The following is a 20,197-nucleotide window of genomic DNA, read 5'->3' as shown; positions in this document are numbered from 1 at the left end:
CAAGTAGAATTCTTATCCATAAATCAACTGGGGATTCTATTTGCATTATAGTATTATTCAGAAATAACATTAATGGATTTGATTGTTTAGAAATAATTCTGAAGGGGTGTGATCTATATTTTGCTGAAGCACAACTCAGAAGATGGCAGATTAGTGCGCAGGAGGCATCCACTTACATAGTAGTGAGTCTACCCAACCACTTGGCATGGGAGTCTCAACATAGCCTTACTGTTCATTTGCTATTGATAGTTTTCTATTGATAGTTTTTGTGAGAGAATCATATGCTAAATGATATACCAGATCAAGGGAATTAGGTTTTAAGGTAAAATTCTCATGAACATCAAGGTACATCAGAGTCTATTCTATTCCATATGCTTTTTAGTTAGGCATTGTTTATAAATTTATGCATAAAATTTAAAAATACGATCATCACACAATATAGTATCTAATAATATCTCAAAATACTACCATATCCTTTGCTTTTATAAAAATTTTATTTTCTTATAAAAGGTAACATTAATGGCAGAAAATTTAGGAAACACAGAACAGCAAAAAGGACAAAAAAAACCCTTTTAAAATGCAAAACAACCAAATTTAACAGAAAAAAGCATTAGCAATTTTACAAACCCCGTTTTAAATTGCAGAGGGATAAATGAATTCATATTTTTTCTCCCATGTAGTTTCAATTCAATCCTTTGCTCTGGGCCCACAGTACTGCTCAACTCATTTAAACACTTATATTAAAACCTGGATGCTTTCAGCATCAAAAAGTACAGAATAGAATTAATCTTCACAGTACGCCTGAGATGCTCATAAGTTATGTTACCAAAGCAAGTTACTACTACTGATGTGAAACTGTATCATTAAGATTGTAAAGATAATAAAAAACTTAAGTGAAAATATCTGATGATCAAGTTTGCTTTAGGAAGACCAGATAATGGGATTAATGTGATAAAGTTAGTACTTATTGTTACTAAGATTTATACTATATAATACTTCTTGAATTTTAGCAACTATATTTTATAGATCTTTTTAATTTAAAGAATCTAAAATTCAGAGAGTATAGCTTCCAAGTTCCCCTTTAAATTGTTGAGAATTATATTTCTAATGTAAGTATACTTTTTGATTTAAGAAAATCAAAGACAAGCATGTCTCTTACATACCTCTTTTTTAACCTACTACCTGCTAAAACATTTACAAAGATACCTAAGTTTAAGAAAGTAGATGCTAAACAAATAAACATAATGCCTGGAATGCTTCTCTGTAAATTGATTAAAACACCATCTAGTAACCTTTGGGATGCGCTTCCTTTCAATTTAAGCTTTTATTTTAATTACTTATGGAAAGTCACTTTTCTCCTTGTATGTGGCAATTAACACAACATTTTCAATGCATCCCAGAAATAGGTGTAAATCTGAGAACAGAGGCTCTTTCGTAGTCACACAGGCCAAAAGATTTGACATTTCACATTATAGAATGTTGGCTATCTAAGTCACACAGACTGTATGATTTCTAAAATTTCAAGCTTATTATAAAGACAGCTGGTGGGAAAATAAATAGTACATTAGTGCTTTTACCTTTTAGCCGGTGGCTTAAAATCTGTTCCAAAATAGCTGCAAAATTGTTAAATTCAGGAGAAGAATCATCAATTGTCTCAAAGCAAGACCGATCAATCAGGGTCTTCACAGAAAACCTATGAAAAAAAGATTATTGTTGCTTTTAGGCAGAGTTGATTCATTCCCTAAGTATGAAAAAAATGGGAGGAAGGCAATTTGGGGAAGAGTTGTAAAAATATTTTACAAGAGTATAACATCTGAAAAACCCCATTTATTCAAATTTACTCTGTAAATGGAAATTTTTACAGAAAGGAGTCTTTTTATTGATATATTTCCTATTTCCTCTGGTCAGAATGTTTGTGTACTCCCAAAATTCATATGTTGATACCTAATCTCCAAAGCAATAGTATTAAGGGTGGGTGCCTTTGGGAGGTGATTGGATAATGAGGGCAGAGCTTTCATGTACAGAATTAGTACTCTTATAAAAGAGGCCTGAGGGAGCTTGTTTGCCTCTTCTGCCATGTAAAGACACACAGAAGGTGTCATCTATGAGGAATGGGCTCTCACCAGACACCCAATCTGATGGTGCCCCGATCTCAGCCTTCCCAGCCTGCAGAACTGTGAGCAATAAATTTCTGTTGTTTATAAATTACCTGGTTTAAGACAATTTGTTAAAGCAGCCTGAAAGGACTAAGAAAGTATCTACTGAAAAAACTAAGACTCAGAAATAGCTAATTGTCCCCATTAAAATCAAAATGTGACCTAACTAAATTAACTCCAAAATACTCAAAAACAGTAATACTACTTGTAAGAAATTTGAGCTGCAGACTCAAATGCTTTTGAGAGTTTCTGAGCACAAAATAGAATAAAATAGGACGTGAGCATTAATGAGAAGAATACGTCTGTATTAGTCTGTTTTCACACTGCTAATAAAGACTTACCCGTGACTGAGTAATTTATAAAGGAAAGAGATTTAATTGACTCACTGTTCTACATGGCTGGGAAGGCCTCACAATTATGGCAGAAGATGAAGGAAGAGTAAAGGGTTGTCTTACATGGCAGCACGCAAGAGAGCATGTGTAGGGGAACTCTCCTTTATAAAACTATCAAATCTTGTGAGACTTATTCACTACTACAAGAACAGCATGGGAAAGGCCCGCTGCCATGATTCAATTACCTACCACTGAGTCCCTCCCACAACACATAGGAATTATGGGAGCTACAATTCAAGATGAGATTTGGATGGGGTCACAGACAAACCATTTCAACATCCAAAATTTTTATGAGCTTATAAATAGCAAAACCTGCAAATCTGTAAAGTGTACTATATTTTTCCTTATCAGAATGTCCTTTGTCTCTATTTTTGACTGTCAAAAATCAATGTATTTTCCAAGTCTCAACTCAAATGTCATCTTCTCAATGGAGAATTATCCACCTGCATATTCCTAGCACAAACAAACATTTTATTTGCATTTATTTCCCTTAAGAGAAAATTACAATTTATCTTACTGCTACCATTTGTGTTTTCAATCTTCATCTTATTAGGACACAATTCCTTCAGGCAGAACCACGCTTTCTGAACTATGTATCTCCCTCAGCACCTAGGACAATGCTTTGAACGTTGTACCCAGTAGGTACCTGTTGATTTATTTGTAAGCTCTATTTTGAAAGAATGGTAAATAAATGTTTAAACGTCCTATCATGGCAAGACCCAACATATAGTTTATGGGTTTTAACATGTGTAGATTCATATAACCACTATCAAAATCAGGATACAAAACAGTCCTGTCACCTCAAACAACTCCCTCATGCTCTTTATAGTAATATCCTATAAAGGATGGTATATGAGTGCCTAAGACAGTGGGGAATCAAGAAGATAAGGGGAGCTGTTAAAGAATTAGAAATAAAAACTATAAAGGAGATAAAAGAGTACAAGCTTTTTTTAAGGTTTTACTCTTGATAGTTATGCTATTCAATCCGGACAGAAAATACAGGAGACAGGCATAAAGGGAAATATAGAAAGATTTGTTTATATAGGTTATATCTAGTATTCACCATATTAGAAATTGAACTAAAAGATTTTAAATATAGGCAGTCCTCACTTAGCACAGCAGTACAGGACCATAACAGTAACTCTGCAAGTTGAAACCATGCAAAATAATCTTTATAATTAAGTAAAAATTATAATTTTCCTGTGACCTTTATAAATTTTTGTCAAAACATTAAAAACTTTCTTACAACCAGTTATATCGGGAAATAAAAAATACTAAAACATTTATTTAGTACACTTTAAAACATTAGAAACACTGAGAATTCAAGTGTTTTACTTCTCTGTAAGAAACTTATGAAGAGTAATCTGAACAGTGCTTGCCTCATTCTTCTCATTTATACAACTTAAGATATAGTGTAAGCCTCTTTTTTTTTTTGTCTTTTGGCAAACTGCCATATTTCTTGAACTAGCTTCCAATATGTTTTCCTTTACACTTTCAATGCTGTGAAATACCTCTGAGAAGCCCTTTAATGTGAAGTGTTCTGTCAGTGTCACTTCCTCTGGGACATTTTCATCCTTTCTGTTGCAACCACTTTCCTCATTTTTATATGAACATTTGCCTCCACTAAGTTCCTTTGGCTGCATATCTAGATTCTCTTAAACAGGAGAAATGTGCACATTCCCATGATCAATGATTTCTTCTGTAACTCCCTTTATATTCATGCAAATCTCACTTTGAGCATTATCATTTTCCATTTCTTTCTTTCTTTTTTTTTTTTTTTTTGAGACAGAGTCTCGCTCTGTCACCCAGGCTGGAGTGCAATGGTGTGATCTTGGCTCACTGTAAGCTATGCCACCCCGGTTCACGCCATTCTCCTGCCTCAGCCTCCTGAGTAGCTGGGACTACAGGCGCCCACCACCAAGCCCGGCTAATTTTTTGTATTTTTTAGTAGAGGCGGGGTTTCACCATGTTAGCCAGGATGGTCTCGATTTCTTGACCTCATGATCCACCTGCCTTGGCCTCCCAAAGTGTTGGGATTACAGGCATGAGCCACCGTGCCTGGCCTATCATTTTCCATTTCTTTTCTGTACTTTCATCTCTGCAAGTTGGCCAATTTACTCTTTTTGATTATCCATTTTCAGATGCATAGGGACAAATCCTAGACAGACTTTGAAAGAAGTGATATTATTGGTGTCTGATCATGATGTGTATTTGTTAGTTATGTAATGGTTTGTGGACTAAAGAGCTAGTGGCAAAATGTGTATTTTATGCAACTACTCACAACTGAATTACAATGGTAATTCAAATTGAAACCACGTTATTGTAGGACTGATGTTACTTAACTAAATTATGAAATACTGGAACCATGCAAAGTAAGAACTGCCTGCATTTATTTACTAATTATAAACAAAATAAATTCATTACATGTTGCATAAAAATATATTTTTATGAAACTTATATTTTCCAAAAGAAAAATGTAGCAATGTTTACATGTTTGCAAATATCTTTAATGTGTTTAATAGAAGACAATTAGATTATATTACTGCTTTTGCATTCAAGCTATTATAATAGCACACATTATGTAGCTTCTGGAAAACTCCAGCATACACTTCTTAGAAAATGGGAATTTTTAATAAAAAAGACAAAGAAAATGACAATAACAACAACAAAAGAGAATGGAAATTTTAAAAGGCAAATAATGTCTTAGAATACTTAAGAAAATAATTTTGACTTTGTGGACCTCTGAAAGCATCTGGGTCCAGAAGTACACTTTCAGAAATGCCACCCTATGGCATTCTTGTTGTGTAATGAAATAACTCTCCTATGAAACGAGAATGATACAAATTACATACCATTACATATATATGGGATAATGGAAAATATAATCACTCAAATAATTTTCAGTCTTCTTTGGTTCAGATGAACCCTGATTGAGGAATGCTGAGATAGATTAATGTTCAACTACATAGTATTATCTACAACAGCAACTGGAGCTCAATGGAATAAATTATCATGCAATAACGGGAAATAACATATAGGAAGTAACACTGATAAAGTTAGTTTCTTGTACCTAACGGATAGTCAAGTTAGACAAATGCCAGATGTAATGCATAGTAAATGGATAGAAACAAAAAGATAAAGAGAAAACAGATTTAAAAGGGACTTGAAAACTTTTATTTCCTACGTCCATCTCAGTGACAATACACAAGAATAATGCTGCCAATCCCTGGCAAACTTTTAATAAGAAATAATAAGTACAGTGTGTAGGAAAAGGAAATGAGAAATGTTTCTAAAATGAATAAATAAAAAGCACACAATCTCCACCTCCACCTCCACCTTTGACCTGAATAGAAGGAAATTTCTGAATGTATTTCTCTAATCTTCATTCAGTAGAATGGAATAAGAAAGCTAACTCTGCATCCACACTGCTCAAGGAAGGAATAATCTACTGCTTGTAAAAATTATGCCATTTAAGATAGTAATGCATCTCCATAAAATACACCAAAACTTATATTTGAAAACAAAATTAACAAAGTGCTTAATTCATCAAAAATAAAAATCTAGGTTAGAACTCAATTTCCACCTTTAACAGTCTGATAAGATTTTAGTCACTATGTTCTCCAGGAATAACACTAGATTACTTAACAAACTATTTACTTTGTAAAATGTAGTGGGAAGAAAAAGCCATGGCTATTAGTGCATATATTTTCATATCATCAAGAGACCTATATGGATCAATCAGTAGTCAACAAAATGCACAAATATTTTTCTACATTACTCATAGGTTACGTTCCTACAGAAGATACTATCTGTGTCATAAAAACATAAAATGTCAAATATCAGAGCACTAAATTACTTTAAACTCAACAGCTAACTAAAAACTAAAACAAAAGCGAAGTCCAAATATCCCAAAGCATATCCTTAGACACAATTTCTATGATTTTCAAGCATAAAGACATTTAAGGGTGAGAAAGCATTACAAAAATTTCTATTATATCAAAGTCAGTAATGAAGAAAAATAATGTTCTCCAGCTTTGCTTCATCATTCATATCCTGCTCTCCTCCCTCCAACACAACCCAAAATTTCAGAAGGCAAATCAATCCCTTAGAGTCTATGCTTCACTTTCAGCTAACCGATTCTTCCCACTCAATACTCACTTCTCTAAAATCATATAGCTAGTCATGAGTATATGCCAGAGTAATGAGAATCTGTCCTTCATAACACAGTAACTAAGATGTGCTATAAAAATCAAACCTGTAGAAAGAATTTTAATATATCTAAGAAATATCACACAGATGCTGAGCTATTTCCTGATAATGATGACATTAATATTAGTCATCTGTTTCCTAAAAAGGAATGATTTTTAAATAATGAAATGACAATTTGATGAATGTCTAAAAATATCAAATCAAGTCTAAGTAACAGCTTTTACATAAAAATTAAAAATCAAAAGTTTATATAAAAGAGACTTATAATTAAGATTTTGAAATGCAGTTTTTGAAATGTCTCTATTTAAAAAGATTCTCTTTCCCACCTTCAAAGTCCAAGGAAATTTTTGTTAGCTTAGAAATGAGAAACAATGGGCCAGGCGTGGTGGCTCAACCCTGTAATACCTGCACTTTGGGAGGCTGAGGCAGGTGGACAACCTGAGGTCAGGAGTTCAAGACCTGCCTGGCCAACATGATGAAACCCCATCTCTACTAAAAATACAAAAAATTAGCTGGTTGTGGTGGCACATGCCTGTAATCCCAGCTACTCAAGAGGCTGAGGTAGGAGAATCGCTTGAACCCAGGAGGTCGAGGTTGCAGTGATCCGAGATCGTGCCACTGCACTCCGGCCTGAGCAACAAGAGCAAAACTCTGTCTCAAAAAAAAAAAAAAAAAAGAAAGAAAGCATGATTGTGACTAAAACCTTAAAACTTAAGAAAGCATGGACTACCTTTTTCCCTTTGTCATCATAGCAAGAGAAATGAGATGGTTACCAAAACTGTTTAAAACATATTAATTACATCCATATTACATTAATTCCTTCCATAGTTCATAGATTTGTAACATAATTATAATTAAAAATAACTTAAAAATTTTAAATGTGAGGACAAATCAAAAATAATTTTCTTTAATGTCTATAGTTTTTATTAGAAATTATTTTTATAGTGAAAATTCATCTTTAATATTTAATGTTCTGCATTAATATATATATATCCATATATACACAGAGAGAATAAGTAGTAAAAAAAATTATATTCCTATCCCTTTACAACAAGCATATATTATTTGGCCATTTATCCAATATGCTTCAGGAAAAAAAATGTTCAAATAAAATAGATCTTCTTATCTATACCATGTTATATCCCTTTATATGGAATGATATCTGAAGATAACTAATGTACATGAAAACATCTAGAATCATCACATTTCAAAACTTAAAAGGGCTCACAAAGGTTAAAGTCATTAATAAGAGTGATGTTTTTAATAGAACGTAAGTATCCAAAATATGAGACAGAGAACTCTCCACTATTTCAAACCAAATTTACAATATTCCTTATTATATGTCATTGCTGTTAGTAGTCTCTAACACAGGGGTGAGGTAATTATCCTCTGCCATTAAAATAACAGTCAGCATCAATGATCAACAAGGAGATGGCTTCCAAGAGACATGACACAATCCACACCAAACATAATATAAGCAGTGACTATAGGTGATAATAAGCACAATACCCAGAGATATCTGTTCACTGGAAGGCCTATTTTCTCTCTTATATTTTACATCAGAAACACAGAGAATTTTTCAGAATCAACAATTTGCAGGTCTGGGCACGGTGGCTCACGCCTGTAATCCCAACACTTTGGGAGGCCAAGGCGGGTGGATCACCTGAGGTCAGGAGTTTGAGACCAGCCTGGCCAACATGGTGAAACTCCATCTCTACTAAAAATATAAAAATTATCCAGGTATGGTGGCACACACTTGTAGTCCCAGCTACTCAGGAGGCTGAGGCAGGCGAATCACTTGAACCTGGGAGGAACAGGTTGCAGTGAGCCGAGATGGTGCCAGTGCACTCCAGCCTGGGTGAAAGAGCGGAAACAAACAAAAAAAGTAATTTCCCTTCTTTCTTCAAATATTATGCAACTTGCGAATTCTTGGCCGGGCGTGGTGGCTCACGCCTGTAATCCTAGCACTTTGGGAGGCTGAGGCAGGCAGATTGCCTGAGCTCAGGAGTTCGAGACTAGCCTGGGCAATATGGTGAAACCCTGTCTCTACTAAAATACAAAAAAAAAAAATCAGCTGAGCATGGCGGCATGCACCTGCAGTCCCAGCTACTCAGGAGGCTGAGGCAGGAAAATTGCTTGAACCTGGGAGGCAGAAGTTGCAGTAAGCCCAGATCATGCCACTGCACTCCAGCCTGGCAACAGAGCCAGACTCCCTGCCCCGCACCCACACACCCAAAAAAGAATTCTCAAACATCATGTGTATTTTCCTCTTTCTTTTCTAATATAATTTTAATCTATTTAAAATATTTTATAATGAGAAAAAATACCTTTCACATATCCTTTAAGCAGGGGTCTACAGACTGTTGTCCACAGGCCTAATACAACTAGTTAAATGTTTTTGTAAATAAACTTTTATTGGAACCAAAAAAAGTCCCAACCATCTTCCCTGAAATTTGTACCCTGAAACATGAAACTCTCTTCGTGATATTTTATTATCTCAAAAAATTTTACGCAATGTAAAAATCAACTTAAAAATAAAGGAAGAAAGCAGGGCCAGGTGTGGTGGCTCACACCTGTAATCCCAACACTTTGCAAAGCTGAAGCCACAGGATGGCTTGAGGTCAGGAGTTTGAGCAACAAAGCAAGAGCCCATCTCTATAAGGAAATGTAAAAATTAGTCAGGCATGGTGGAAAGAGGCTGTTATTTTAAGCAACTCAGAAGGCTGAGGCAAGAGGACAACTTGAGCCCAGGAATTCAAGGTTACAGTGGGCTATGGTCATGCGTCTACACTCCAGCCTGTGTAACAGAGCAAGACCCTGTCTCTAAAAAGGAAAATTTTAAAAATTAAATAAAGAGACAGATGTGTATTTAAAATATTTTCTCAATCTGTACTGTCAAAATTTATTTTAAAAGAGAATTGTTAATCTAGACACTTAAGAATGGAAATACTATATTATTAACATCTTGTATTGCTATATAAGCAGACTGATGACAGCAGATTGCCAAACATAAAAAATAACGTTAGAAGCACACTCTTAAAATAAAAAAGACAGTTTGCTGAGAATGATGGTTTCCAGCTTCATGCACATGTACCCTAGAACTTCAAGTATAATAAAATATATATGTTAAATAAATAAATAAATAAGGCAAAACTTTCCAAAAAGATTCATCTAAAATTAGTAAGCCATCAAACCAAGAAAACTTCCTATCTTAAAATACATTGGTTTAATCTCATATGAAAGAACTCCCAATTAAAATTATTTTAATAAAGAACACTTTATATACTTGGATCACATATCCCTTGGGAATCCAATTATTCTTTATCCAAGAACAAATGAAAATATTCAAATAGAATACTTTAACATAGTGAGCTTCCTAGTAAGCTAGACATTAAAAGCAGCAATAGAACAACGTGAAGAACAGAAAAAAACCATAACATATAGTCTTCATGGTTTATCAACACTAGAATGCTACGAAAATGAAAGGTCCCAGTTTCTGTCTATGCAAACACACACATCAGCTGACTTGTATCACAGACAATCAAGACAGCACAGTTTTAAAAATATATATATATGTTTTGAAACCAGATATATTTGGGTTTGAATTCTGGCAATGTTAGCCTTAACTATAAAATAAATCTAATTTAAATAAAAATTATTATAATTAAAATTTCCATTATTAGTGATGAAGGCTGAATCTAATATTTTTCCTGCAAAAAGCATATCGTCCACGTATAAATTAAATATATTTTCTTATCATGTTAAGATACAGATGTTTTGTGATTGATTTATGAAAATTTTAAATTGTTATTAATATTAATTTTGAGATTAGACCTGAAATATAACAGAAGATTTGGTTCTGTAAATACTAAGATTTAAAAATCACAAAATCTAATGTTAAATATGAATCTTTGGAGGATATTGTTTTCCTAACCTCTTCTAAAGACAATCACCATCACTGGAGATAACAGACAATAAATCATTTTACTTAGCTAAAACAACAAAATGTGGGCATCATATCCACTTTCTTTCTTTCATAAAATATTTTCAAAACAATATGTATTTTGGAGGATTTGTTTTTGAATATGCAATCTAGTGTCAGAGTAAAAGAGGAAGGCAGGGAAGAAGAGCTCTTTCATTTAGTGCACATTCACAGCTGTCGGCCAGCTTTTGGTAAACAGTAGTTACTGTGATTGTTTACTGTCGCCCCCAAATCAGTGCATTTTGTTGTTTTGGCTTGCTGGAGGAAGGGTGCTAGAAAATATACCAAATCCAAGTTGAAAACCCTGAAAGGCCAGGAGCAAACTGTAGGTTGTTCAAGACTAACCATGGTTAAAACCTAGTCTGGATTCAGCACAGTCCCTGATTGGATGAAAGCAATCAGCTGCTACTCAATCTTATGGAGGAAGATGAACACTAGTAAAGCAAAGTGGTCATTAACCTACACTATTGGCCATGGGTACTAGTAAACTGTTGGCGATATCTTTCTAAAATTAAGTGGTGCATTCCATCTGTTTACTCCACTGTGGTCTATTTCTACTGTATACTATGTTCTTATGAATACTTTGACACAAAATGGTTGACAAAAGGGTAAACATGATAGTACTAAAAGAACAACAAAAGTATTAAAGAAATAACTTAATAAACATTGTGTGGCATTCAATAACATTCTAGATGTGACAAAAGATAGAACATACATGACAAAGAAAGGAGTAAGAGAGAAAAAGCAGACCATAAAAGTAGATATAAAGATAATTCAAAATTCTAAATTAATAAGAACTTTAAGATAAATGTGAGTAATACATTCAAGAGATGAGAAGAAATGAAGTACATAGGTAAAAAGACAGGTTTTTAAAATCAGAGGGTTAGAGTCTATTTTAAAAAATCAAATAAAAATTCTGGAACTACCTGAAATTAAAAACTCATTCAATGGATTAAACAGTAGAATAGACAAAGCATAAGACATAATTAATGAACTAGAAAAGGAGTCAATAGAAAACATACAAGCTGAAGCATAAAGAGAAAGAAGAATAGAAACCATGGGAAAGAATATGAATCAAGTGAGGCCTGGTAAAGTTTAACATAATGTAATTGGAGTGTAAAAAGATAATGGAGACACACGTGGTGGCTCATGCCTGTCATTCCAACACTTTTGGAGGCCCAGGCAGGAGGAATGCCTGAGGCCAGCAGTTTGAGACCACCCTGGGCAACATAGCCAGATCCTATATCTACAAATTAAAAAAAAAATTAGCTGGGTGTGGTGGTGCATGTCTGCAGTCCTAGCTACTCAGGAGGCTGAGGATCACTGGAACCCAGGAGTTCAGGGTTGCAGTGAGCTATGATCGCACTACTGCACTCCAGCCTGGGCAACACAGCAAGACCCAACCTCTAAAAAATAAAAATAAAAAGTAAAAAGAAGATAATAACCAAAATTTTTCCAAAACTGAGGAAGGTAAAATGGAAAGGGTAAATATGTGGATAAATATAAATGTGTATTTCCTAAATACCTACTGTAAAAAAATATGGTAATAAAATAATGTAAGATTTAATATATATATATATATACACATATATATATAAGTATGTTTTAGGATGTGGGGGAATAAATGGTTCTAACACTATTGGAGAAGTAGTAAAAGTTACAATTTGCATTAAGCTGTAATAAACCAAAGGTAACTGCCAAAAGAATAGAAATATATATAAACATATATAAAGAAATGGAATATATGACTCACAAGTTCACAAAGTAAAAAACTGGAATCATGGAATAAATGGAACTATAAAAATATTAATATTTAAGAAGGCAAGAAAAGAGAAAAAAGCAAACATACAATGAACAGTAAGATAGCTATAAATCCAAATATAATAGTAATAACGTTAATTAAAATGGGCTAAATAATTAAAAGACTAAGATTATCAGACTACATAAAATGCAAAATTCAATCCTATCTTACCTACAAGGACACTCTAAATATAAGAGCCCAGAAAGAGCAAAAGTAAAAGTAAAAGATGGAAAAAGAGACATCATATTAACATTAGCTAAAAGAAAGCTATTATAACTGTATTAGTAGCAGATAAAACAGACTTTAAGGCACTAGCATTATTAGAGATAATGAGGGACATTTCATGATGACAATGAATCAAACTACTAGGAAGAGACCACAATTCTAAATCTCCATAAAACTAGTAACAAAACAAAATATTTATAGTAAAAATCACAAAACTAAAAGGAGAAACAGACAAATCTACAGTCATAGAGGTAGACTTTAACACATCTCTCTCAATACTAAAGAGTATACAAAAAACAAGTAAGAATACAGAGGACATGAACAAGGCAATTAAAACACTAGACTTAACTGACATATATAAATCATGCAATCAACAATGACAGAATACACATTATTTCCAAATGCATATTAAATATATGTTGAAATTAACCATATACTGCATCATAAAGCATCAACAAATTTCAAAAGCTCAAAATCTTTCAGAATATGTTCTCTGCACAACAGAATTCATTCGAAATCAACAAATAAAAGGTTACTAAAAAACCTTCAACTGTTTGAAAGTTAGACAATAGATTTTTTTTTTTTTTTTTTTTTTTGAGACGGAGTCTCACTCTGTCGCCCAGGCTGGAGTGCAGTGGTGTGCCGTCTCTTCTCACTGCAAGCTCCGCCTCCGGGGTTTACACCATTCTCCTGCCTCAGCCTCCGGAGTAGCTGGGACTACAGGCGCCTGCCATCACGCCTGGCTAATTTTTTGTATTTTTAGTAGAGACGGGGTTTCACCGTGTTAGCCAGGATAGTCTCGATCTCCTGACCTCGTGATCCACCCGCCTTGGCCTCCCAAAGTGCTGGGATTACAGGTGTGAGCCACCATGCCCAGCCGACAATAGATTTCTAAATAAACTGAGGAGTCGACAGAGAAAATTAACAAAGTCATAACACGAGTCGACAGAGAAACTCAACAAAGTCAAACGCTGGTTCTTTGAAAAAGTTGGTAAAATTAATAAATGCCTAGCAAAATAAATGGGGAAAATGGAGATTATAATATCAGGAAAGAAAAATGGGAAATCACTACAGATCTTTCAAACAATAAAAAGACATTAAGAGGATATTAAGAAAAGTCTCAGCAAAAAAAAAAAAATTGACAATATAAATGAAATAGGTATGTTCCTTGAAAAACCTACTGAAACTCATACCAGAAGACACAGGAAATCTGAATTGTTCAGTATTTATTAAATGAATTGATTCCGTTACTAAATGATTTCCCACAAAGACAATTTGCGGTTCACATTGCTTCCCTGGTGAATTCTTCCAAATGTTTAAGAAAGAAATATCAGTCTTACACAAACTTTTCTACAGAACAGGGGAGGAAACACACACACACACACACACACACACACACACACAAACACATACTTCCTAACTTGTTTTATAAAGCCAAATAATCTTAATGACAAAACCAGACAAGAACATTATAAGAAAGGACAATCACATACCAATCTCTACCATGAATAAATATGCAAAAATCCCAAAATATTAACACCCTAAATGCAAAAATATGTCAAAAAGACAATACATCACAACTGATTGTTTTTTTATTCCAGAGTGGTTTAACATGCAAAAGTCAACATAATTCACTATGAAAACAACAAAAGAGAGAAAAATCACGTTTACTTGAAAGACAAAAAAAATTTAATAATACAATAATAAGCATCCATTTATGATACAAATTCTCAGCAATTTAGAAATAGAAGGGAAGTAAGAAAAACCTACTGCAAACATCCTATTTAATAATAAAATTTTGAACGTTTTCTGCAACACTGCATTAGTGGTCCTAGCCAGTGCAATAAGACAAAAAAGAAAAGCCATAAAGATTGAAAAAGGAAGAAATAAAATAAGCAAATGACATGACTGTGCACTCAGAAAAAAAAATTTTAACTGCAAAAAATCTGTTAGAATTAATAAAGAAATCTGGTAAGACTGTTAGATATAAGACCAGTATTTTAAAAGGTCAAATTTATATCGATATACCAACAACCACAAGAAAATGAAAAGTTTTCAATGATTTCAGTTACCATAATATAAAAATATATCAAATATGCAAGAATAAATATAATAAGAGATTTAAAATATCTATATATGCAAAACTACATTATTGAGAAAAATTCTAGAATATTTAAACATATAAAGAAATAGGTTATGTTCATGGGTTGCACGTAAGTCTTAATATCATAAAGATGGCAGTTTTCCCAAAACTGATTTATAGTACCAGTGCAAGCTTAATAAAAATCCCAGAAAAATATTTTAACAGAAATTGACAAGTTGATTCTAAAATTTAGTTTGTAAAAGGCCAAGAATAGCCAAGATAATCTTGAAAAATAAAGCTAGATAACTTATATTACCACACATCAAGACATAATATAAAGTTATAGGTATTAATTTAGTACGATATTAGCTCAGGAGAGACAAATAGACTATTGGAAAAAAGAAAGTCTAGAAACAGACCACAAATTATCCAGTCACCTAAGATAAATGTGATGCATGAGTGTAGTGGAGAAAGTATGGTTGATATAGTTTGGCTGTGTCCCCACCCAAATCTCATCTTGAATTGTAGTTCCCATAATCCCCACATATCATGGGAGGGAGCAGATGGGAGGTAATTGAATCATGGGGATGTTTTCCCCCATGCTAGTCTCATGATAGTGAGTAAGAGCTCACGAGAGCTGATGGTTTTATAAGGGGCTTCCCCCTTTGCTTGGTTCTCATGTTCTCATTTTTCTCTCTCCTGCTACTTTGTGAAGAAGGACATGTTTACTTCCCCTTCCACCATGCTTGTAAGTTTCCTGAGGCCTCCCCAGCCCTGCAGACCAATGAATCAATTAAACCTCTTTCCTTCATAAATTACCCAGTCTCAGGTATGTCCTCATAGCAGCATGAGAACAGACTAATACAATGGTCTTTCCAATAAATGGTACTAGGTCAGTTGATTTTCCTTAAGGGAAATATTTAATCTTGACTCCTGTACTTCACATCATAAATAAACTACAGATGGATTGTTGATATAAATGTAAAAATAAAACAATAAAGCTTTAGAAGAAAAAAGAATATTTTCATTACTTTGGAGTAGGCTGGCTTCTTAAAGACATTACAGTAAGCATTAACCATGAAGGAAATTTATGGGCCATTTTACAATCAGAAATTTCTATTCATCAAAACATACTACAGAGTGAAAAATAAAGCCACCAAATGGAAGACATTTGCATTACATGTATCCAACAAAAGATTCCCATACAGAATGTACAAAGAACTGCACATCTAAAAAATAAACAAAAAGCAGAGATTCCAGTTGCTAAGTGACTTGAATTGCCATTTTATGAAAGAAAATCTCCAAATGGCCTACAGACTTACGGAAAGGTGCTTGACTTCATTAGACATCAAGAAAATGCAAACTAAAACCACCATGTGACACCCCAACAAACATACAAGATTGGCTAAAATGAAAGAAAATGTCAAGCATTAGTTAGGATACAGAACAACTGGAACTCCTACACACAATGCTCACTAGTATGAGTGTTGGTACAACTCCTTTTGAAAACTTTCACATCTACTGAAGCCGAATATCTGCATGCCATATGACTCATCAATTCCACTCCAAGCTAATATCAGACAGAAAAATGTACATATCATCACAAAAATAAATATGAATGAATATTTAGTTAGTAGTAGTCAAAAAGTAGAAACAACTCAGATGACAGTCAGTGACAGAATGGAAATATTGTGGTATATTCATCCAATGGAATAAGATACAGCAATGAAAATGAACAAACTACAGCAACATGCAACAAAATGGATGAACCTCACAAACATAATGTTGAACAAAATAAGCTAAACACAAAAAGGTCTATACTGTATTATTCCATTCATTTAAAATATTTAAAAAGGCAAAACAAACCATGGTGTTAAAAACCAGGGTATTAACTACAAGAAAGCAAGGAGGAGGTCTTGATATTTGAACAGTTCTTTCTCTTGACTTGGGTGCTAGTTACAACATTGTGCCCTACCACAAAAATGAATTGAGCTGCATAGTTATGCTACGTATACTTTTCTATATGGAAAGTATAAGTCAATAAAAATTTATATTAAAAGAATAGTGGCATAGTAGAGCTAGAAATAAGGCTAAAAGCATTATCACAATGTCCTACATATCTCGTAGTGGTTGACTACAGACTTGACACTAAGATTTCTAACAGCTGCATGAGAAAAAGATAAAGTTGTCAGTTATACATTAGTGTCCAGTAGATACAAATAAATCAATTGCTTGAAAATACAAATTGTTGGCACTAAACACAGAGATTTCTCACAGAAGTCTTCACAAAAAAGAAGCCCCTTTTGACATAATAATGTCCTTGACAATAACTTCAAGACCCTCTGTGACTGCTTCTTATGATGACCTTCAGTGCAGACTGATGGAATCTTTCCAATATACAACTGGGTAAAAGCAGTTGGGGATAGAAGAGTGTGGAGCAATGCAGTCTACATACCCAATTCTCTCTGATGCTTTGGACTGACCCAGGGATATATTTTATAAACCTGTAAGAGGGAATAGAAGAGTGGGTAAGCTTCAAACATTCCCCCTTGAATATCATCTCTCAACTGAAATTTTGACAATTATCAAGCAGCAACAGCAAAGTTAAAATAAATACCCCCTAGTAAAGGACTGGGGGATAGCTAGTCTCTGTTGTCAATTAATATGAATGCAGTTTGGTTGGGGGAAGAGAAAATGACCTTTTGTGAATGCTGAAATGTCTACTCTAGGACTAGTCGTTGAAAAGAGGATCATCCTACCTCCATTGTGCGCATCTACTAATTAGAGCATGAAGAATCCTTAGAAATATTTAATAATACTGAACCTGCTTCCAAGGTATATAACTAATGTTGAATCCAAACTCAAACTCAAAGTTCTACTACATATAAAATGACTGAAAGAGTTTTAGCCAAAAATATTATAATCACTATAGCCAAGGTATGAACAGTCTTATGAGGCATACTCAAGCATATTCAACCAAATAGTAACAAAAAAAGTAAATCACTGGATTTAAAGTTCTTTTTTTTTTCTTTTTTTTTTGAGACAAGAGTCTCACTCTTTCTCCCAGGCTGGGGTGAAGTAGTGAATCTCGGCTCACTGCAACCTCCGCCCCAGGGTTCAAGTGATTCTCCTGTCTCAGCCTCCCGCTGGAATTACAGGTGCCCCCCCCCCCACCCCCCACCACCACGCCTGACTGTTTGTATTTTTAGTAGAGACGGGGTTTCACCATGTTGGCCAGGCTGGTCTCGAACTCTTGACCTCAGGTGATCCATCTGCCTCAGCCTCCCAAAGTCCTAGGATTACAGGCATGAGCCACCACACCCAGCCAACAAATTTAAAGTTCTTTAAAGGATTATGCTGCAATCTGTATATGGTTGGTCTGCCCCCATCAAATGACATGTTGAAATTTGATCTCCAATGTGATGGTGTTGGGAGGTGGGGCCTAGCAGGAAGTATTTGGCTAATCATGGGGGTGGATACTTCATGAATGGCTTGGTACTTATCACCCACTAGTGAGCCAGTTCTCACTCTAGCAAGGCTGGATTGGTCTCAAGGAAGAATGGATCAGTTCCTAGAAGAGTAGGTTGATAAAAAACCAGAATGCCCTTTGGGTTTGGTCTCTCTTCACACCTGCCTGCTTCCCCTTTGACTCTCTCCACCATGTTTTGATGAAGCACAAAAGCCCTCACCAGAAGCTCAGCAGATGCCGGGGCCACGGTTTTTGTACAACCTACAGAACTGTTAGCTAAATAAACCTCTTTTCTTTATAAACTACCCCACCTCAGGTATTCCTTTATAGCAACACAAAACAGGATAAGACAGATTATACTGTCATTAATATTCAATAACATTTCACATATCTGCATTTCTCCCACCAAGTTCAAGCATAGACTAGACAGTTTTTCTGATTAGTTAGCACCAGAATGTTAAGAAGTTCAGAGTTCTAAAGCTCACTAAACTTAACTCAGGCCTCTGGGTGCTTTTTAAAAAAAAAAAAATTAAACACCTGATAAGTTTAGTTATATACTTTCCCAGGTCACAACCAATTATAATCTGCAAGTCAGAATGGGAAGTACAAAGAAAAGAACTGCTAGAAATAAAAAGAGTTGTAAGAAATAACAAATAACTTGGTAGGAAGAAACAGAAGGATGCAAAAGCTCAAAGAACTCCAAACACATAATCTTCTGGGGCCACTTAGGCAAAAGCTCTACATGCTGCAAGAGTCTCCAAGGGCAACCACTGCACAGTGGGCATATTCATAGAGGCAGATTCAGAGTAAAGTCATCAATAAGGATTACATTATTCTATGTATAGTCTTTGTCAAGAAGGTAGGGAAACGTGTAATCATTTTTTAAAGCAATCCATCCAAAATATTGTAAATATTATGTGTTGTGGATTAAACTTGTGCGCTTAAATAAATTTCAGTTATACAAATCCTGCGCTCCAAAATAAATGCTGAGTAAAGCACTACAGTTGATGAAGGATTTTAAGCTTAACTCAAATATTAGTTATGTATAAAAATATAAGCTTCTCATTCCTTGACTATAATGGAAAAACTGAGGTGCTAATGTAATTTGAAATAATATTCAAGTTCTGAAATAATATCATGACCTATAGAAAACTAAGACTATTCATATGTTATTAAAAACACTTGAATTGTGAAATCATCACTTGTCTCCACCGTGCTTATCACACTACTCCTTATATTCCTCTTATTAGTCCCTCCTAGCTACAAAACAGGAAAATTATGACTTTGCATGGGAAGTTTCTCTTAAAAGTATTGACTTAAAAGTTTGACAAGTGTTATTCTGAAATGTTTATATGTGCATATTTTAATAATTTGCTCATAAGACATTGTTAAGCCATAGAAAGAGAATTTAGATTTTAATACTCTGCCACCAAAACCAAAATCAAAGGACTATATAAGGTTTTCTGTAAACAATGAAGCTTATAAAGGACAGAAAAAATGACTAATATCTGATTATCTATGGATAAAAATGCAAGTTAAAAAAATCTGAAGGGCGTTAACAACTTAATTTTCTGAAGTTCTAAACGATAGAGAATATACAGGGAAAATACTAGTTGGTTCTCAGAGCCAAAGTCAAGTGTATGAATATTTTGAAGTTGAGTGTGTAAGATTTAGAGTCCTCAAATGACCTACTATCTCTTCACCAAAATCTGTGAAAAATATGAAAAAACAGTACTTATCTGATGAAATAAGGACTATGCAAATGTTTTTAGTCTACAACATGTAAATGTTCACTAAAAAAAACTAATGAATTACATACACATATACAATCACACATGAGCCAAAATTCAATTCAGCTCTTTATCTGATTATCTTACCTA

At 34.2% G+C, this 20,197-nt stretch overlaps 2 protein-coding genes across 11 annotated transcripts in view; one reads left to right on the top strand and one right to left on the bottom strand.

The window, feature by feature from the left end:
- ABCB1 (ATP binding cassette subfamily B member 1) overlaps positions 1 to 20,197 on the top strand; it is a 210,279-nt gene that overhangs the window by 60,781 nt on the left and 129,301 nt on the right. The window lies entirely within an intron of this gene.
- RUNDC3B (RUN domain containing 3B) overlaps positions 1 to 20,197 on the bottom strand; it is a 203,899-nt gene that overhangs the window by 179,782 nt on the left and 3,920 nt on the right. For all 8 annotated transcript variants that reach the window (NM_001394228.1, NM_138290.3, NM_001394224.1 and 5 more), the window contains exon 2: positions 1,578 to 1,693. Coding sequence is in view for 7 of the 8 variants with exons in the window: in NM_138290.3 (NP_612147.1) it covers positions 1,578 to 1,693 (116 nt within the window). In the remaining variant the exon portion in view is untranslated. The remainder of the gene's footprint in view (positions 1 to 1,577; positions 1,694 to 20,197) is intronic.

Source organism: Homo sapiens, chromosome 7, assembly GCF_000001405.40.
Source record: "Homo sapiens chromosome 7, GRCh38.p14 Primary Assembly".
Classification (NCBI taxonomy): domain Eukaryota; kingdom Metazoa; phylum Chordata; class Mammalia; order Primates; family Hominidae; genus Homo; species Homo sapiens.
Note: the sequence above shows the minus strand (reverse complement) of the source record. Positions and strands in the feature narration are given on the sequence as shown.